The following is a 22536-nucleotide window of genomic DNA, read 5'->3' on the forward strand; positions in this document are numbered from 1 at the left end:
CTCTTGCTCAATAAGCCAATAAACCAAGCAACAAACCCTTATTAATGTCAAATGTAAGGCACTTTGTTAGGAATGCCTTACACTTCCTGAATTTAAGTACAATTGGAAAGATAAGAAATGGCAATAAAACAATGATTCCATTTAACAAAGTGTATGTCTTGTATTCCAGTTTTGCACAAGACTTTGTGCTACATGTTTCAGGAGATACAATGAACGGCAGCAGCTTCAGCCTACTCTTCCTCTAGAGCACATGGTCTGGTAATGAGATAAGACCTTATTATAATGCAAGGTAGAACCAAACACAGCCGACACTTGAGCAACATGAGTTTGAACTGTGCAAGTTCACTTATACAGAGATTTCTTTCTACCTCTGCCCTGCCCCCAGATGACAAGACCAACCCCTCCGCTTCATCCTCTTCCTCAGCCTACTCAATGTGAAGACTATGAGGATTTTTGTGTATGGTGTGAGATAGGGGTTCAGTTTCATTCTTTTGTATATTGGTATCTAGTTTTCTTAACAACATTTGTTGAAGAGACTATCCTCTCCCCATTATGTATTTTTTGGCATCTTTGGATGCATGGGTTTATTTCTGGGTTGTCTATTCTGTTCCAATGGTATATACATCTGTCTTTATGCAAGTACTGTACTTTTTATTATGTCTTTGTAATATAATTTGAAGTCAGGAAGTGTGATGCCTTCAGCTTTGTTCTTCTTTTTCAAGATTGGTTATTCAGGGTCCTTTTGATTCCATAGGAATTTAAGAATATTTTTTCTATTTCTTAAAAAGTGCCTTTGGGATTTTGATAGAGATTGTGTTGAATATGTAGATCATTTTGGGTAGTATGGACATTTTTACAATATTAATTCCTCCAATCCAGGTACATAGGATTTGTATCTTCTCATTTATTTGTATCTTTTTAAATTTCCTTCATGAATGCTTTGTAAGCTTCAGTATATAAGTCCTTTACTTCTTTGGTTAAGTTAATTTCTAAGTATTTTATTTATTTATTTATTTTGTTGCTAATGTAAATGGGACTGTTTTCCTGTGGAGAAAAGAGAACCCTTATACACTGCTGATGAGAATGTAAATTAGTAAAACCATTATGGAAAATGGTATGAAGGTTCTCCAAAAACTTAAAAATAGAACTAACATGATCCAGCAATCCTAGTTCTTGGTATCTAAAGCAATCGAAATCAGGATTGTGAAGAGTTCTCTGCACTATCATGTTCATTACAGGATTATTCACAAAGCTAAGCTATGGAAATGGCCTAAATGTTTTTCAACAGATGAATGGATAAAGAAAATGTGGTGTGTGTGTGTGGGTGTGTGTGTGCGCGCGCGCATGTGTGTGTATAACAGAATACTATTAAAAAAGAAGGAAATCCTGCTGTTAGCCACAACATGATGAAGCTGGAAGACATTATGCTAGGTGAAACAAACAAGACACAGAAACAGAAATCCTGCATGATCTCATTTATATGTGAAATTGAAAATAGTCAAATTTATAGAAGCAGATAGTAGGATAGTGGTTTCCAGGGCCTGGTCAAGGAAGAAATAGGGTGATACTGGCCAAAAGATACAAAGATTCAGTTATGAAATATGAATAATTTCTAGAGACCTTATGTACAGCATGGTCATGTTAATTAACAAAACTGTATTGTATACTAGTAATTTGCTGAGAGGACACATCTTAAATCTTCTCACTACACACACACACACACACACACACGCACATAAACAATTGCAACTATGCAGAGGTAATGGATATGTTTAATTAGCTTGATTGTGGTGATAATTTAATAACGTATACTAAAACATCAAGTTGCACATCTTAAATGTATACATTTTTGTATGTCGATGATTTCTTAATAAAGCTGTTTAAAAATGAGACAACCAGGTGGACAGCTCCATGGAAGCAAGACAGAACTCCCTCGGGAAGTGGAACTTGAACACTGCCTGAGTACACAGTTGGGAAGATGATCAATTTTGATGTCGGAGTCGCTCGGACTTTAGCAAGGAAAGGGAAGGCTGTGAGCCAGATGCTGGGGTCACTCAGGAAAGCAAGAAAGTGTTAGAAACAGTGCTATATGGAGTCCAACACCAGCAAAGCTCTTGGATAATAATCACAAAACAGTGGTCGAGAGAAGTACTGGAGAGAACGGAAAAGCCGATCCCACTTTCGTTCAGTTAAGGGACAGGAATAAGAGAAAGATACGTTGAGAAGATTACAAGAGAAATGGTGTCTTCAGAGAAAAGGCAATGGTCACCTAATGGTAGAAGCAGAGGTACAAATAATTTTTTGATAAGATCTGTGCAGGTTTTTAAAATATAGAGTCTCAAGGAATAGGTCGTACAGGTTCAAGTTAGACAAACGTAAGACAAGAGGTTAAGACTCTCTGGATACGGATGAAAATAAGGGCCTAGGTGCAGGGAGAGTGGTATCTGAGATTTAAGACTTTGATTTTAATGACCAGGGCTTGGGAAGAAGAGGATGGAGGAGGGACTTGTGAGCAACTAACAAAAGAGGAATGTAAATTAGGCAGAAATCAATGAATGTAGGAAGTGTTGGGTTTACATGATGACCACTGTGGGGAGCTCCAGCCCATTCCTCCCTTAGGAGCACAGGTTCCGGAGCTCGGCAGAGGAGTTCAAATTTTCAATCTCTTCACTAGTTATGGAACAAGCCACTTAAATTGTGTTGGAGGATTAGCCGCTTAATCTTTCCGTCAAATGGAAGTCATGAAATGGGGATAATTACAGTTGCGAGAATTAAATGAGCTATTACATATCACGTGTTTTTGCGTCATCAGCCCAGAGGTTGTGTAGTTACACCAGGCAACAGTACCAAGACCGTGAGTGCAGCTGAGCAATGGTGCTCAGGGCTTGAGGCTTAGTATGACAAGATAAACTGTTAGCAGGTGTTGACTCTTCCTTTAGGACAATGTGCTCTTTGGGGATTGTCTTTTTCTCCAGCACTGCCACGCGACCCATATAGTAAAAACAAGGTGAAGGTGCCTCCAATTGTCTTTTCCAGGAAGAACCAATTGACACGAAGTCCAGGACCAGGAGCCCTGGCCTCCCTCGGACTTTGAATGAAATCTGCTCCTTCTCTGAGGTGTGCATCTCCTCCCTTGTCTCTTCTCGCAGTAGAGTGGTGGGATGCTGGGATTGTGGTGAGGATCTGGGCAACAAAGCCAGGGGCACACATCAGCCCGCTTCAGACCTGGCCTTGGGGCTTGGGAGGGCTCATGGCTCACTCGTGGTCCAAGACCGCCATGGGCGCACAGGCCTGGAGCGCAGTAGGCTATGAAGACAGTGCGATGACACCAAAGGGACCGCCCACTCTAGCGGGAGACGGGAGGAGAGAAGAAACTCCTCCACTCTCTGTTTCCATTCCTGGAACATGTCTCTGGACACACAATCTCTCAGCTTTTGCTGGGCTGTCTCCACACATATTGCTTTGGGATAAGAATACGGGCTGCCGGGCACCACCACCAAGGGCTGGACAAGCATCAGGAAGTTTCCTCGAAGTATCTACTTGCAGTGGTGCCCTTGTGCGGGTCCTGGGCCTCCTCATTATCATTTTATTGCATTTCTCTTCTTTGCACCCTGAGGACTTTTTCTAGAATAAACATAAAACCAATTACTTTAGAAATAAAATGTGTTTTTCGTTAAAACCCCATTCTGGCTCCTCCAGTCCCAACAAGGCATTTCCTGATTGAACTAATTGGCTTTCAAGTTATCAATGATACTGTTTCTTTACAAGGAGGTAAACGTATAGGACATCCCTGTGTCCAACTAAAAGCCCTCCTACCACCCATATGAAATGAAACTTTCCTTTGGGAAGCTTTAAGGAAAATGCAAGTATAAGAGGGAAAGTTGTTCAGAACTTGAAGAGAAAGCCTCTCATCCTCCGTGTGGACCACATTCCTTCCACTTACCCTCATCCAAACTGTCATCCTCCCCACTAAGGTGTCCTCCCTCATCCTATCAGCCAAGGGAAATACACATCTAAGACTAAGAAAAACATGATCTCTTAGCCTGCCCAAGTTGAAGGCACCCAGAATTTGTCCCAAGAGCAAACTTCTAGAATTCTCAACAGAGAAAACCCAAGCAGAGATCTTCCAGAGCAAGCCATTCTCCATCACACCCCTGTCCAGCAAGAAGAGAGCCATGGTTAACACAAGCACCTACTGCACCACAGTTCTCAATTCTGGCTGCATGTTACACTCACACACGAGGAACTTTGACAACTTCTGATGCAAGGGTCCCATGCCAGAGACTCGGATTTAAGTGGCGTAGTGTGAAACCAAGTCACCAGTACCTCTGAAATATCTTCAGAAGCTCTGGGTGCAGTGGCTCACACCTGTAATCCCAACACTTTGGGAGGCAGAGGCAGAAGGACTGCTGGAGCCCAGAAGTTCGAGACCAGCCTGGGCAAAAATAGTGAGACCATGTTTCTATGAATTTTTTCTTTTTAATTAACTGGGCATGGTAGCATGTGCCTATAGTTCCAGCTACTCCAGAAGCTGAAGTGGGAGAATCACTTGAGCCAGGAAGGTCAAAGTTGCAGTGAGCCATAATTGCACCACTGCACTCCAGCCTGGGCAACAGAGTGGTGAGACTCTGTCTCAAAAAAAAAAAAAAAAAAAAAAATTCAGATGTGCAGCCTGATTTGAGAATCTCTGTGGTAGCATGGTGCTGTCCAATACAGTAGCTAATAGCCATATAGCCATTCATGGCTCCTTAAAGTTAAATCAGCTAAAATGAAATAAAGTTAAAAATTCAGTTCCCAAGTTGTACTGGCCACATTCAAGGGCTCAATTACTACAGGTGACCAGTGCCTACTATGTTGAGGAATGGTGGATATAGAACATTTCCATCATCACAGAAAGTTCTACTGGATGGAGATGTTCTAGAACATCAAAATGTCAGAGTCAAAACTCAGTTTTTCTACTAACCGAGGAAGATTGTTCTTTCCAAGTCCACTTGTCTCATCTTCTCCCTGAGCTACAGACCTCACAGCAGAATTCAGTCATCTAGGACTCCTTGGCTCCCAAGAGCAATGCCAGTATTAAACTACACGATGACAGGGGCTTTCATTCATCACTGCAATAGGAAAGATGACATTCAGTGATTCCCTGATTTGCCCTAAATCTCACAGCAAGGAGCAGAGTCATGATTTTAAACCAGGCTTGTTTCTATCAAAACACAAGCTCGCTTATTCAGCCCAACCACTCCTTCACTGGGACTCCTGGCCACATCAGAGCTTTCTCCTCCAAGAGTAAAGGGCCTGAGATGTGCTCTGCTGACCACAGGGTTTCCATGTCAGCCACTCCTCTTACCTACCGCATTCTGACCCCTTAACTGCTACCATCTTCAATGTCAGCTACTGCAAAAAAAAAAAAAAAAAAGAAGAAAAAAACTGCATGGATGCATTTCAGTAAACTTGCCTTGTGGTGGCCAAGAAACAAAGGGAAGTTCCATCCTCTGAGTGGCTGGTAAGACTTGCTCGCAGGGGCACTTCCTATCAAAACATTGCCTGGACCTTAGGAGTAAGGTGCCTTAGAGGAATGCAAAGAAAGGAATCAGCTCGTGCAGTGGACAGGAGCTCAGGCAGCTTCTAAGACATGAGTTTCCAAGGGAAAGGCCACAGGTTTGGGGCTCCTGTGGTGTCCTGTTGCCTGAAGAAAATTAGCTTATTTTGTATCATTTTAGTACCTGAGAGAAAACACGTGGCCTCCATTTGACTGCCATTGGCTTGATTTAAACTTAAAATTGTATGCAAGTATGAGCAAGTTTCTCTTTCCTGCTCTGGTGTGTGTGTGTGTGTGTGTGTGTGTGTGTGCGTGCACATGCTAGCAGGAGGGAAAGGATTGAGGAAGGAGGAAATGGGAACTAAGAATATTCCTAAACACAATGAATGTTTACATTTTAATTATTTTCAATTATGTTTTCATAAGCCATCAAAAATGGTACAAGAAGATGTTTAAGGGGTAAATTTGGAGTACATTCATCCCAGTCTAGAACATAAATAACTCATATCATGATGCCACTGGCTATCAAGTGTAGACTTTCCCCAATATCTTCCATATTGTCTTATGTACCTTCTTTTTTAAAATTTATTTTTCGTACAGATGGGGTATTGCTAAGTAGTCCAGACCTGTCTTGAATTCCTGGCCTCAAGCAATCCTCCCTCCTGGACCTCCCAAAGCACTTGGATTATAGACCTAAGCTACCATGTCTGGCTTTATTTACCTTCTTAAATGTATTCATAGTCACCCAGTGTCACTACTCTCGTTTTGTTTTGTCACCCTTTCCTGTCTGGTGAGTTGCTGCAACTATGAATCCCAGGCCAGTGGCCTGAAGACAAAGCAAATGGCTTTGAGCTGCTGGATCCTGGACAGGCCAGGGCTTCCTCTATAAACACACAGAAATCTAACTGCACCCCAGTACATCATCTCACAAACAATGCAGAATGGTTTTCTGTTTTAATGTCAAAATTATAATTAATATTACTATCTAATAATTTGGGACTTTCTCTCCAAATAATGCTATTATCCAGTCCATGTTTTGGTAGTGGCGATTTTATTCTCATGGACTAATATGGCCACAACCATGATATAAATAGATAAAGGCAATTGGTTAATTTCCTCAGTTCTGCAAAAATCCAGGACACCAGCAAGAACAATTTTTTGATGGAGAAACACTGACTGTATCCACTTAGGCCACAAGCCAGGGTCTTTTAAAAACTATGAATCAGAACCTAAAGCCCAAGTTGGAGACTCCTCTTGCTAATGGTGTGATCACTTGGCTCCTCTTGATCATGACCCCTTTGATCATGACTGTCAGCCAATGAGGAAGCTAGATGCAGACTTTCTTTTGACTGAGGCCCTGGAGAAGCCAGGAAGTAGTGATGAGGCCCACTCTGCACGGGGGTCTGCTTGCAAATCCAGCTCCCCATTTTGGGGGTGAAATGAGAAGCAACAGCTCACTCCTTTCCGCTCCCTAATGGCTTTATACCTGCTTTGTCTTGATTGCTGCTGCCTCAGACTGCTCCTTAATCCCGTAAAACAAAAGACTCTACTACCTGTTGAAAGGCATGAACATGCCCAGAGTCCACTGCCATTTCCAACCCAATGGGGTGCATGGGGTGCCACTCAGATTGTGCGTGCAACTGGTCAAACATTGAGCTGTTTCTTGTCCCTTACCTGTAAGGATGGGGCTAGCTTGGGCCAGAACTACATGAAGCATTTGGCTGAGTTTATTTGGGCTTGATTTCTGATTACCACGCCAGTTGCCCAGGGGACAGGCAAATCACACACAGGTGATGTGATCTGATTTTTAAGAAGTGGTCTGATTAGTTCACTTGTTTTAACAACCCAATCAGATCGACTAGGTGGCAATGCATTGATTTTATGGCCCCGCCTGAATCAATCTGAATAAAACCATTTAGTGGCACATATAAACACAGCTGAATGTAGACAAGTAGGATGAAATCTTTCCTTTAAGCTCTTGAGGAATAGAAAATAAAACTACTTAGATAGTGTCTCTACCGAGGAGATTATGTATATAAGGCTAACGCGACCCTGGTTTCCTTGGTTTCTATTATATCCTAACTCCCTAAACAGAATTCAACTTCTTTTCCGAGTTTCATTCCACAGACATCCCTTCTTTGCATACATTAAGCTCCCAAATATGTGATTGTGATAGGTAAGGACAGAGGACAAAAGGCACACATGTAAACTGTCAAAGAGTTTATTTCCACAGGGATTATGAAATCCCTGGCCTCTGACCCAGGGCTCAAAGACAGATTGATTATTTTCTGAAATAAAATTGATCCAACAGAATATATGCAAAACAGGGATTCTAAAAGATTCTTGGCCAACACCATTTGACTAACAACTTACTCCTGCGCCTTATTAACAGTCACACTCCTTTCTAGTTGGACCAAAGAGTGATGTTTCAGGGCTTTTCTTTTGACTGCCCCCTGTGGAATGGCCAGGTCTCTGCTTCATGACTCTTCATGCTCCTTAGACATCACTCAAATCAAAAGGCCAGTTGATTACAGTTCTGGAATTAGAGTGCAGCACATATTCCTAATGACTCTTCTTTCCTGTTGGCTGTGCCCTCCCTACGACTCAGTTTTCTCATCTGTAAAATGAGATGGTTGACGTGAGTCATCTCTAAGATCCCTTCCAGCACTTGCATTGTAAGATTTTATTTTATTTTATTTTATTTTATTTATTTATTTATTTGAGATGGAGTCTTGCTCTGTCACCCAGACCGGGGTGCAGTGGCACAATCTCGGCTCACTGCAGCCTCCACCTCCTGGGTTCAAGTGATTATCCTGCCTCAGCTTCCCAAGTAGCTGGGACCACAGGCACATGCCATCACGCCCGGCTAATTTTTGTAGTTTTAGTAGAGATGGGTTTTACCATGTTGGCCAGGCTGGCCTCAAACTCCTGACCGCAGTGATCCACCCAGCTCGGCCTCCCAAACTGCTGGGATTACAGGCGTGAGCCAGCGAGCCTGGCCCCACTGTGTGATTTTAATAATACATTATGCTGGTATTTGCACAGACATTTCTATCCTGCACAGCAATTTTGTATCTATAACCTGCAATGCTCCTATTCTGTTGTCCTAGGAAAACAGACCCTTCAATTTCTTCAGAAATATTGGCATGTCAGATTAGATCCCCAAGGGGCCCTCAGACTTAATATGGTAATATGCTAAGTTCCTAGGGCTGCCATCACGCTGACCATTGGATTTGCAGCTGATTCTGGATTCCTTAGGCACGATAATGCCTTGTTTGTTGAGAGTTAATGCCACCTGCCAGTGTTTGATGTGGCAAGGACTGTGGCATGAGGCAATGAGCTCTAACCATCTTGTGTTGAAAGAAAGAAATTTTCTTCCTTATAACTCAGCTTTTATCAAGACTTTAAAATGCAGCCAAGGCATTAAAGAGAGAGAAAAAAAACTTTGGAAGGTTTTTATACTTTTTGTAAAAAAAAAAAAAAAAAAAAAATTTCTTTCATTTTTTTTAACCACTACCAAAATCTCCTCCAAACACACAGACCCTACAGTATCCCTATTAAATTATATAGAGCGAGTCCAGCCCTTGACTGTCAGTGGGGCCCATCAGTCCTAATTTATCGCCCCAGGAAACACAGTACAATTATGGTAATAAATAATAATAGGATTCAGTACATGACAACATGAATGATGGAGCCTCTCAGAATTCATTTACATTGCTTTGTGTTGCAATCATCATGCCTCTAATGTAATGCCAAGCAAATGAGCCCCTTTGAATATTGTGCAATCTATTGCAAGTCAACTGGCACAAAACTCACTCAATAAATCATGTTCAAACACATGCCTGTAATGACAGGTAAATCAACAATGAAGTAATTGCATTTAATGTATTGAAATACTGGACAAAAAAAAAGTGACCTCAAAGTGACTTTTTGTAAAAGGTATGATACAGTTACAACAAAGAGTGAAATCCTTCCTGAGAGGCACGCCTTGCTTAGATGCACATGCCAGAACCGATGATGATGCTGTTCCCCAAGCAGTTCTTGATTTACCTCTTTTCTCTGCAGTAATCATGGGATCAGGATGCCAGAGGCTTCAAGCGTTCACTACCTTGAATGTAATAGTCACAGGTAGAATGGAAGTCAGCCTCAAGTACAGCCAGCTCTTTTGTGCCTGAGCCATCACCAAGCTCTAAGTTTTGTAGCCAACTCTAAAGGCAACCTGATGAGGAAGAGAGAGAAAGGGTCAGGAGTCAGAAGGGCTGCATCCTTGCCCCAGCTCTGGTATTCACTAAATCACTGCATGACTCTGGCCAAGTCACACTACCTCCCGGTCCTTTGTCTGTGAAATAAAGTTGTTGGACTGTCATGGCCAAAATCCATTGCAATTCTAACATTCAATGAAGCTCTGATTCTGATTAGAGGCCTTCACTTTTAAGCAGGCAGAAGAGTTCCCTGCTCTTCCTGGAGCTGTGCTGTTCCTGAATGTTGAAGGTACTGGTTTAAACCGGCATGCATCTCTCTTCATCACTGCTGTTGGCCAGGCCAAGTGTATGTGCTTCTAATTTCTGTGAATCCTGGGTCTGCCCCTTTCTGGGCAAGCAGACAAGTCTGAAAATAGGGCCCCAGGGGCTGTGTGGATAAATAACAGACAACATTGAAATGACAACCTTCCCTTCCTTCCCCATCGCATCCACCCCAGCTCCCCTCTTCCCAGGGACAACGTCAAGAAGAGATGAAGCAGAGCCTCTGCAAAGCCAAAGGCCACTTAAGGAACTTTCCTGCTCTTGTGAAAAACTCATTCTTGGCTAAAGGGCTCCCCAGGCCTCCCCACTAACCCGCCTTCCTCTCTCTGCTCAATCATCAGTCCCTGACTGTTATCAAAGTAGCTCCCACAAACCCCATAATCTTGGAGATGTGGAGACATGAAAAAGTAGGGAAAAAAGAGCACTAAATTTAGAGTGAGAAGATCTGGCTTTAAGTACTGGGTCCATAGTTTATTCGACATGTGACATTGTGCAAGTCCCTTAACCTCTCTGTGCTTCCATTGCTTCATCTGTAAAGTGATAATAATACTCACTGTGTCTCCAATGAGGCTGTTATGAGGACAGGATGATATAGATGAAAAGGCTTTGCTAGTTGTAAAGCACAATACAGAAGTCTCATTTTTGTCATAATTTGGGAGAAAAGAACACTCTGACACAAGTTTACTGTGTTCTGCACTCAAACAGTGCTTCTTATCATAAAAGCAATCATCTTGTTTATTTGTCTGGGTATTTTTATTGTCTAACTCTCCTGAGAGTCTGAAGGAACTTGGAGAGTTTGTTCATATTGTTCATATGTTACTAGCACCTAGGACAATGTTAATAAGCATGTATTGAATATATGAATGAATGAATGAATGACAGCTTTTCTTTCCTTTAGGAAATTACAACAAAACACTGAACTTCATGGTATTTTTCAAAAATATATTTGATGCGAACCTGCCCCAACCTGTAAACACAGCCTCCTGCTTCATTTACTTTTGGTGCTGAAATGGAGCTGTTTAGAGGGAGATGGCTTTGTGAGCAATGACCCCTACTGGAAGGGTAGCAATTGGAAAGTCTTTCAAGCCCACTAAAATGCCTTCTGAGGCCAAAACTGGGCCACAGTTTCCCAGGCAACAACAGTCTAGAAAATGACAGCTCACTTCAAAGCAGGAAGGGATCTGGGAAGCTGGAAAAACCCACAGACATTTCCATATTAGAGAGATGTAGGAAGTCATGGTTAATATAACCACTGAAAACCCTTAAGTGAGAGCTAACAGGTTTCTATTCCTAGTGTCTTCAGTCCATAGACCCCATCCACCCTCTTTAGGATGTCATTCTGTCACCGAACCACGAAGGCTTACTCATAGATTACCTGTGTTCCTTTGTGAAGCAGGCCCCGCTCTCCTGATAGCTCCCATATGATACACCCTGATTAGCAAGGCAGCATCAGGCAGAACAAAAGCTCCATTAACCAGGGCTGGTGGGCGGGAAGGCAAAACCAGGGGCCCTGAGAGGGGAGAGAATGAAACAGAAAAACTCTAATTTTAGAAAATTGTTACCAGTTGCAGGATGATGAGAATGTTCCCTAAAGATGGGAACATCAGGAATAGAGGGACCCAGCTTTTCTACCTGACCTGTTGGCTCTCTGATGGGAAATGCTGGCCATGTAGCTCTTGGGTTTTCTCAGCACTGCTGGATTCAGATTGCTCCTGGAAGCAAGACAGGTGTTTGACAGCAAATTACTACCAAGTAACAAGTTGCTACTTGGTAGTTACAACTCAAAGGCCACACCCTCCACCCTTGAGATTCAAAGGTCCCCTTCAGAAAACAGCCAAGGGCAAGCCGCCTCTAGGGTTAAGGAGGAGGAAGATGGCACCCTATGTCACAAGGCAGCCTCAGGCTGAAGGTACAGGTCTTCTGATAAGTCCTTTTCAACAAAACACGGTATTGAAGCCAATGGATTGTAGTCTGACCAGTCAGTATGAATGATGAATGGGTACCCCAAAACTCCCACAATTCAAAGGACTGCCCTATCTCCCCAATTCAGCTTCCCCCAAGTCCCTTTTCTTTACTGTCGTTTCTACCATCAGCTCCCTTCCATCCCCGTCATCTCGTTCCTCTCAAGAACTCAGGGACAGGACATAAGCTCCTGCCTTTCACCATTTGATTCAGAAGCTCCCAAGAGCCAATGAGCTGCAGCCCTGCCTGGGAAATGGTTCTGCTCAGGCAGCTTGATTAATGACTGAGGGTCAGCAGATGTCACCTCTTCCACTGAATCCCCAGGGTGCGTGCACAGCCCAGCTGGAAACGGGACACCAGAGGGCTCCGAGTGAACACAAGAGCCAAGGGCAAATCCACATGATGCCCAACAGGCAGGCCTTGCACTGGCTTTCTCCATCTTCCTTTTAGAGTGGATGCTTGATGCTCATTCTTTAAAAGGACCTCTCTTCTTGGAGAATACCTAAATGAAACATGCAAACTGGTGAGGAGAAATTATGATCTATGATTATCTGGATGCCCCAGGACCCCAGGCAGGTACCTGAGGAATCTTAGTACCTGAGAGGAATGCCTATAGGTTTTAATGGGAATTTTCCATAGATGAGCATTCGATTTTGTTGTTGTTGTTTTCTATAAATACCCCTTTCTTACTTACAAGAAGCAATCATATATTCTGCTAAAATGGACTGAGATTATACTTTATATTTTTCAGCCACTCTCAAGAATTTCAGGCTGGGCACAGTGGCTCATACCAGTAGTCCCAACACTTTGGGAGGCCAAGGGGGGAGGATCTTTTGAGGTCAGGAGTTTGAGACCAGCCTGGCCAACATGATGAAACCCCATCTCTACTAAAATACAAAAATTAGCCAGGCATGGTGGCATGCGCCTGTAATTTCAGCTACTTGGGAGGCTGAGGCACGAGAATTGCTTGGACCCAGAAGATGGAGGTTGCAGTGAGCAGAGATCATGCCACTGCACTGCAGTCTGGGTGACAGAGCGAGATTCTGTCTCAAAAAAAAAAAAAAAAGAAGAATTTCAGCCCAGGTACCAAGAGCAGACTGCGTATGCAGTTTAGAACCAGCAACAGAGGGAACTGCAGTGGTGAAGGGAAGCTCCAACGGAGACTTCGTTCCAGAATTCAAAGTGCCTTTGCTGTCTCTGAAATACAAATACTTAGGATATACCTTTTCTTTCTAATAAATGCTTTAGAAATTTTTACCTGAAACTGAATTTTAGGATTCCAGGGTATCCATTATAAATTATTCTCATACTTGTATTAGGACACTTTTTCTGGGCTGTTTATTACTGCTGAGAACAATCTTTCCATACAAAAATCCCTTAGAACCTGAGAGCTTAAGCTCAACCGCCTGAGTGGGAGATTGGGCATATCTCCTCTCCCCTCATGTTTCTTCCAGGCTCAGACAGAAAACAACCACGTTTCAAACTGAGAAATAGTAAATTAGTCAAAGGGACCTTATGGATCACAGAATCCAAATCATCATCTTCCACATGAAACAACTAAGGCCTAGAGAGGTTAATGGTTGATTTAGGGAGGTACAAATAGATGTGCCAGGACTGAGGTTGGAAGCAGGGTTCATGTTCATTCCAAAATAAAACATTTTTCCTGGTAGTTGACAAATGAAAAGTTATAGGCCAAGATGAGTGAAAGCACACAAACTCGCTAACTCAACTAGTCAGAAAAAGGGCTGAGCTGAATGCCAGGAAATATTACCCTAAATGCGTTCTACAGAAGTAGTCATTTTTGAGATGCTGCAACCAAAAGAGTTATCAAATTATAAGAGAGAAATATCACTGTAAACAAACCTGTTTAACTTAGCATAATCCAACATTTTCTAAAGTTCTTTAATCGAGATTCTCAAAGATCGCTCTTTCTCTCTCTCGCTCTCCTCCCTACCCACAGCTGCTTTGCATAAAATGTATTAACATACTATATAGAATTGGCGTTCTTCCACAGTGCACACTTCAAGAAATGTTGGTAAAGGGGAAGGAACTCTGCAAGGAATAAAGAGGATTATCCTCTGGTCACGGAATTTAATTATGCTACTAATCACCTGCGAACCTTCAGCCAGTCATGTAATTCCTCTGGGTCTCCGTTTCCTAATCCCTTAAATGGTGGTGGTTAGGAGTGTGATGGTGGACAAGATAAACCCTGCAGTCCTTCCAGTTCAAAATTTCTACGATGACCTGACATTCAGCCTTCCAAGCAAGGCTAGGAGATTGTGCTAATCAGAAAAGCCAAAGGTTTGCCCTATATGGACAGCTTAGGCGAGGCACTTTTGTTTGATATACTCTTCTGTTCCAGCCTGAGGTAAGGAAAGGAAGAAGACTTTAAAACACAGGATTCTCCAGCAGATAACAGTCAGTTCCTCAGGGGCACTAGTTTGAGCCTGGCTGTTACCAAGGTAAAACCATTTTCTTGTAAACTTATTAAGTCTGCTAAGCATTCAAATGAACCTGTTTTTTTTTGTCTTTTTTTTTTTGAATCTTTTTTCTCATGAAGAAGTCAACAAAACATCCAGCCCTTTGATTAAACCTCCTCCCCAACTTCCCAATGCTGAAATAACCCATCCATGCATCGCCCAGGGGAGATGTCGCCTGGCTTCATAGGAAGCTCAGAAACAGCCTCTCCTATCAAATCACATAAATCCCTGAAACTTTCCATCTTCTTTTTACAATAATTATTAACCTTTCTTTTTTCTTTCCTTTTTCTTTCAGGATCTACTTTGTGCTACAGGCCAACAGCCCGGATAAGCATCTGGGTCCCCAGCAAGCGCTCTGTGCTTTTTTTAAAAACACGCACACATGTTCTGCCTCTTATTTCCTGAGCAGTCCCAACACCTGGAGTGGTCACAGTCCAAAAAAGTCAGGCCAGGAAATTGAGTTCTTCTTGACTCCTGGCTGGGACATTTAGCCAGGGACATTATGAATGTGTTTTGTAACTAACCCTCTACAAGAGAAGACCAGGTCCCTGCCAAGGAATTCACGAGACCCTGGAGTTCGCAAAGAGGGAAAAGAAGAGAAACCTCACTGATCCATCCGACAAGGAGCTGGACAATTTGTGATTTCATCTCAAATGTTCCCTTATCTCCTACCAAGCAAAAGAAAACTAAATATCACTCTCCCTCCTAAAGGCACACATACATAAAAGAAGAAATTTTTTAAAAGAAAGAGGAGAAGAAAAAAAACCTGGAAGCATTTTTGAAGGCAAAAGGCTGTTTATTGCTGCCAAAGTGCTGATTTTTTTTTTCTGCCTCTGGCAACTGTATGAGAATTGGAGACTTCAGCAGAGAAGAAATCCATTCACTTGTCATCGCATAAAACCTCTGTGTTCCACAGAGGAAATGGCAAAATTTCACCCTTAACTGGATTTGTAAATTCTTACAGGGGGCTGGGAGAGGGGGTGGAGGAGAGGTCAGGCTGTTCTACATCCTGGGGCATTCGGTAACCTCACTGTGCCATGTGAGGGAACGGCTTGTCCACCACAGCAGCCTTACGTCAGCAGGAGACAAAGGTAGAGGCTGAAGAGTCAGAATGGGGCGGGCACCAGTCCCCAGCCCAGGCCACAAAAGAGCAATTCCAGCCCACGCCACTACAGAGGGTTCCATCTAAACGTATTTTAAATGACTCAAGCACTGGGGATGTTTTCTTTTCCCTGGAGTATATCTCACAGCCTTTTTAATAATGATTGTTCGAAACAATTGCTTGTTATTAAGCTTAGCACTGCCACATTCGGTCATTGTGCTAAGCCCAGTATTCATTTCCTCTTTCCCTTTCCTGCGTGTGATTTTTCTTACTATCCATCTACTACCTGTCCTGCTGGATTTACCCCCATTCACAGAGACAAAGTAAAAACAGCAGGAGAGAGCCAAAGGTCATCTAGTCCATCCAGCCATTCTTATCAGGTCAGCTATCCCATTCTGACCCTCTAGGTGTGATGTTTCCATCTCTTTTGTCAAATTCTCTTTGTTCTGCTGTTTTCCATTTTGATATAAAAGTCAAAGTGTGGTGATGGCAATATTCCTAAGCATCCCTGTATCAAATTTTCCTGACTTTCAAAGTGCTGAGGTCAAGATCCAGAAAACTCGAAACCAGAGGAAATCAGGTTGCTAGGACGCCGGAACCGTTACGATGCTCTCAGCCTTAATTAGGTGTAAGTAACATCTTGTCAGTGTTCTGCCACATATGCTAAAGCTGCCGGGGCAATTTTACTGAGTCTGACAGCTGAAATCAGAAACAAGAGAGTTAACATGTCAATGATGCGGCTGGACATGATGGATATATTAAGAGGAGTCTGGAAAATTCTGGACTTCATTACATCGACTCTACTTCTCAAAAGTTCCTGTCAAAAGAATCTCCGCCTCATCAGAAAAGCTCCTCTGGGATCTGATTACACCCAATTACAGGGCCTCCCACAGCCACCTGGACACAGGGGTACTTCTGCCCAAACTCATTGGAGAAGTGATTGAGGGAAGATGAGAACAAGGAAATTGCTGATTTTGGTATAATTTCTACAAATAGATCTATTGAGATTTAAAAGGTGCAATAACTTGACATTTTTGGTAAGTTAAAAACTGCTTAAAAATTGGTTTGCTGGTTGTTTCTTTTTCCATCTTGGCCCCGGGCTATTTTCAAAATGAAAAGAATGGGATCAAGTCCTGAAAACTGAGGTGGAGTTGAAGGCAATAATAAAATTTTAAAGATGACAAAGAGGAAAGTGATAATCTCCTGAAAGTGTTAGAGGCACACTTGACTTTGGATGGCAAGTTTCTCAGAAGGAAAGAATGAGGGCAAGAAAAAGGAACTTCCTCTGCTAAGGGGCTGGCGCATTAGCAGGTTGGCCTGAACATGGCTCTTTCTTGTCCAGTCCTTGGGGTGCTGTCCTCTGGAAGGCGTCTGCAGCCAAGACCCCAAGAACTGGCACAGCGTGAACTGCCATTGACATGTCATTTTAAGGATGGGAGAATGCTTGCTACCCCAGCCAGGGAGAGAGAAGATGTAGTAACCAGGGGCAGAGCCGGTCATGCTGATATGGCATCATATTCCTGGAAGATTCCATACCTGTCTATCATTAAATAGGAGGGTTGAGCCCAGGCTAAAAATACAGTATCATGAGTGACTTGCAAAGGGACTCACGAATAATTTTTGCCTCCCCCATTCCCTTTAAAAGTAAGAATTGTCAATCAAAAGTGTGTGTTTACATTGCTGAACGATGAGGTTTTAAACCTCAGACTTGCTGCAAAGACTCATGTCTACGTAGTGCCGAGAGTGGAAGGCTCACAAAGGGGGAGAGTCTCCATGGATTTCAACAGAAGGGAACGCCTAGCTTTATAATGGGCCTTTCTATATCACCGTTTTGGCTAGGGGTCCATATGAATTTGTTGTGATATTAGGCAGAGGCTCTATGGCCTGGCAATGTTGACACTGCTTCAGAAGTTTAAACAAATGTTACGTGAGTTTTGAAGCAATGAATAAACGTCAAAGAAATGGTTTGGAAACAACAGTGGGAAGGGGAAAGTAGTTGGACATTACCTAGTAAGGAAATCATCTTGCCTTTCTATTTTTTCCCCCCACAAGAAAAAAAGCAGAAAGATTCCACACCCTTTACTCTGTTAACAAGTAATGGATCACTTTTCTTTCTTTTCCTTTTCTCAGTAGTGTGAATGCTAATTGTTTCCCCCTCTGTCTTATGCTGGTTTGGATTGAAACCCTCTTTCCCAAATCACTCTGCAGGCAATGAATCATCAGACCTGGTGGCTAATGGCTCTTTTGTGAACCCAGCAGGTGTGTAACAGGCTTCCTCTAAGTGGCCTGTCCTGTGTCTCTTGCCTCTTAGACTCCCAAGAAAGGAGTCAGGGACACATGAGAGCTCAGAGGGTCTCAGTCCTGATCCCGTACCAAAGAATCTTTTTCCACTAAAGAAAACACGAGGCTCTGTGGCCACGAGGACCTACATTTCGTTTTCTCAGTGATTAATGCTGCAGACAAAAATTAGGTCGATTACAATCTCCAGCACTCGCCTGGTATGTCCACCCCCACATCACTTGGCCAAGTGTAATAATTTCACTCAAAACAACACGATTTTTCTTATTTTTCAAGAAATATCTGTTGAGTTCATAATGCATAATGTGGCCCATGATAGGTTCTGGGAAATATGAAAACTAATATAATAGCTAATATTGATGGGATATTTACTTTGTCCCCAGCAGTATTCTAATTTCCTGATATAAAATAACTCACTTGATGCATAGATCAAGAAATTAGTACTATTATGATATGATCGTCTTCATTTAATAGATGAGGAAATGGAGGCGTAAATTAAAGAACTGGAAGAGCTAGGATTCATATTCATGCAGGGTGATTCCAGAGCCACAACGTTCTACAACCCTGCCTGCCAACAGCAAGACATGATCCCAGACCTCAAGGACATCACAGTCTATTGGTTGGACATTATCTAGTCATATAATTGAGTAATTGGACATCTAAATATAAGTGAATCATACTGTGAAACACCAAGGCATAAAACCTCATCAGACATTTGCTGAAGCCTCATCTTAATCAAATCAGACCTGTGTTGGTCAGTCTACGAAATGCTCTGTTCCTGAAATACGCACCACCTCCTCAGAAAAGCTGACTTTGGCTGTTCCTTCTTCAGGAATTGGCAGGGTCTGGATGACATGAACTTCCACCCTGGCCACAAAGAACAAGACCAGGAAGGATACCTGTATTCATTTCCTAGGTTTGCCATAACAAAGTACCACAAAGTTGGTGGCTGAGAACAACAGAAATATGTTGTTCCACAGTTGTGGAGGCTAGAAGTCCAAAATTAAGGTGTTGGCAAGGCCTTGCTCCCTTATAAATCTGTAGAGCGAGGATCCCTTCTTCCAGCTTCTGGTAGCCCCAGATGTTCATTGGTTTATGGAAGCATAATTCAGTCTCTGCCTCTATCCTTACAGGGCATTCTCCCTGTGTATCTTCCTATTGTCTTCCCTCTATGTATGTCTGTCTCTGTAACCAAATTTTTCATGTTTGTAAAGGCATTACCCATATTGGATTAGAGCCCACACTTACAACCTCATTTTAACTTGATTACCTTTGTTAAGACACTATTTCCAAATCTGGTCACATTCTGAGGCACAGGGGCATTAGAATTTCAACACATCTCTTTTGGGCAGACACAGTTCAACCCCTAACAATACTCTAGCCAAATGTGAACTGAGAAACTCCACAGCCTCAGAGCTGTCCTGGCCCAAGAACTCTGCCCAATAAGAGTGTGCCATATTGACTGGTAACTGATCCACCCCATTAGATTCTGCCTTGAGAGTTTTGGATTCTAGCTGGAGTTTAACAGACAAGTCCATGGGGGTGGTGATGTCACTGGAGCTACTTCTGATAGACTTTGAAGACACCCCCGTCACTAAAATGTCTCCAAAGCCTGAAAAGAAGAGTCAAGTACAGGTTCTCTACCAGGCCAAGGCAGCTGCTGAGGCCCCTTCCTGGGATTCCTTGCTTGTTTTTACTAAATATATCAATTAAACAAACTAGACAACAGTATTTTTTGGTCTTTTTATGCAAACGAATAACACTCCTGCCTAACCAATTCTGACTTTTTTCATCCTGTCAAAACTACACTTAAAATTCATATACTATGGAAAACCATTCAAAGTTCATCATCTTTATCTTTGGTCACTAATCATTCCAACATCTCCTTATCACATATGTACACATATATTTCATATACATGTGTGCACAGTGTATATGATTAACAATACACACACATATGTACATACATTATAGGTATTCACACACATATATATGCATATGATGATATCTGCTTCCACATTCCAAACAAGATTTGTAATAATTGCATTTATGAATATATGTCTGCACAGAAATGATTATAACTTTCTTGAGATGTTCCTTTGGTATAAAAAATAATTATGATGATAATAATAGTAGCTGTTATCCAGTGTTTAATACACCAGACATTTTGCTAAGGATTTTACATATATTATCTAATTTGGTCTTCACAAGAATCTGGAGAGGTAGGAATTATTATCCCCCTTTTACAGATGGGCAAACTGAGGCTTAGAGACTTCAAGTGATCTGTCCAGCATGACATAGCTAGAGTGTAAAATATATGGGATTTGAGCCCATGTGGCCTACCGTAGAACGATGCTGTTAATCACTTCATACTGCCTGCGACTTAACCAATGTGTTGTCATAGACACCTACAACTAAAGAGGACTCAGCAAGTCATTAGATCCTGCAGCTCCATTTTATTTATGAGAATTCTGAGCCACCAGTAAACTGTGGGTCCCAGTGGCTCAGTGGTTGGCAAAGCTGGAAATGAAATCTGATCATCTACCTCCAAAGCTGATGCTTTTGTACTTCAACTGTGGCCCTTCTGGGCTTGTATCCAGTAGAAATGTCTTCAAATTTTTTTCCCCATGGATGACTTCCCTCCTTTGTTTCCTGTACTGATACAGGATTTCTCCTATTTTTAGAGCATGTTGATCATTTCAATTAGAACCAGAGAAGAGATGTCGTGCTAGAGTCTCTGTCTTTCCAGAAAGTTTGACCAAGATTTATTTAAAACTTGAAACAAAAATTATGATGCTTCATAAAGGGTTCAGCAGGAGCTCACCTGAAAATCTAATTAAGCAGAACATGCATGCCTCAAGCATTGGTAGTAATAAAGGGTTTCCTGGGCTTTCTCTGTATTGCTATCCCCTGCTCAAATGCAGCATTCAGCTTCAAGTAGGGGCTCAGCAGATAGTTTTGACTGACAAAAGCAATTAAAAACATAATATAAGTTCCCAGCAAGCCTTGCTATTATTGTGAAGGTGTCTCACATATGTAAGGAAGTTTTAACAATCCTTTTGATTAGTCATTCATGTAAGTATTTGAATAAACATTTCAAATCAAGTCAAAATAATCACAGAGGATAATGGCACTTATGGTGTTGCTTAGATAAATTGTGATCATAGTGTGTCTTTTTTTCTTCTTTTCCTTTCATTTTTTTGGAACTGAGTAAATCCATGTAACCTCCTTTGCCTACTTTTCAGTTTCAAAATGCAAAGTAACTTGATGTTTTTCCTCTTGGTAATGATGCTCTCTAGTTGGCTCTAAGAGGAAGGCTGAATGCAACTCTTTTAACATATGTGGCTTCACAAAGAGAAGATGGAATTTCTGCAACAACCATTTTCCAAGAATTTCCTTATCACTAACAGCAAACCCATGAGAAGAGGGTAAAAGGAGAGTAGAAATGTAGGTGTGTCAGTAGAGGAGTCACCAGATGCTGCCTTTGCTCTCAATCCCAGTTATGCCTGCCTTCTCTGGAATACTTTTATTGGTAATTATCATCAATGTCCTCATACTTAGCAGATGGTCTCTTACAATTAACCCATTTGACCCCCGCCAGAAGTATTGGACACCACTGCTAACCCTGCCCTCTCTAAACCCCCTTCTTTGCCCTCTCCCAGTCTTTCCTCCTTCCTCCCTGCCCTCTCTAAACCCCCTTCTTTGCCCTCTCCCAGTCTTTCCTCCTTCCTCCCTGCCTGCCCCTGTCTGCCTTTTCTATCTATATTCCTTCCTCCACCATGCCTTAAGCCCTGATAAACCTCAGGCCTGCCCTCATGTGTCTATTTTTCTCATTCCATTCTCACCCTAGAAGAGGGCATCAGCGCCTAGATATTCCGCAAAAAAGGCTAACAACAAGCCCAATGTTCCTCTCACCAGTCTAAGATTCTTGCTCCCACAGGCCTTCGAAGGTGTGGACTTCCCCATTCCAGGCAGGCTTTCATGCCACCATCATAATGGTCTTTCTGTGCTGAAAACCCGAGGCCATCAATCTACTTAAGATGAGTCAAGTGTCTCCATCACCTTAAGAAGAGAACGAAACTCCTTGGCATGTTATACAAGGACTTCCATACTCTAGCCTTTGCTCTTGTCCCTAGCACCTTCTCTGGTCGTCACCACACCATACCTTTACCCACCCTCCCATGTACAGGTCTACCTGCAGCTTCTCGTCTCCATGACCTTCACGTGCTCTTCAATATGTTTGATTCATACCTCCCTTTCTAGACACACCAGCTTGCTAACTTCTACTGATCTTTCAAGGATGCAGTACAAACAACCTCTAAGAAACCTTCTCTGACCACTCCCACCCCAGCTGAACTCAGGGGTCTCTGAGCATAGCTCTGCTTGTTCTTCTGTGCTTCCTATGAGACACCATGGCTACACATGACTAGGTACACAGTGTTAAATTAAGCTTAACCTAAAACTGCCTCCTTACATGTTATCAGTTTGGCCCAAAAGTTTCTCCATATGTAGTAAACTATAACCTAACTGGATGTGTAAACAGACCATAACCTACTCTTACACCAATCACTGAGTTTCAGCCAATTGAAGGCAGCCAACTGTTCAAACCATGTTTAAATAAGGGAAACACCA

The 22536-nt window shown here is 42.3% G+C and overlaps 1 long non-coding RNA gene across 1 annotated transcript; it reads right to left on the reverse strand.

Annotated features, from left to right (window-relative positions):
* Positions 1 to 1460: 1460 nt before the first annotated feature.
* Positions 1461 to 15110, reverse strand: LOC105379377 (uncharacterized). The gene is made up of 7 exons (XR_949675.4): positions 14771 to 15110; positions 12329 to 12526; positions 11700 to 11774; positions 11438 to 11572; positions 9590 to 9758; positions 4964 to 5111; positions 1461 to 3624 (listed from the first exon to the last, which is right to left on the reverse strand). It is a non-coding gene; the product is annotated as an uncharacterized LOC105379377 (long non-coding RNA).
* Between the last annotated feature and the right edge of the window lie 7426 nt (positions 15111 to 22536).

The sequence above is a fragment of the Homo sapiens genome, chromosome 8 (assembly GCF_000001405.40).
Source record: "Homo sapiens chromosome 8, GRCh38.p14 Primary Assembly".
Classification (NCBI taxonomy): domain Eukaryota; kingdom Metazoa; phylum Chordata; class Mammalia; order Primates; family Hominidae; genus Homo; species Homo sapiens.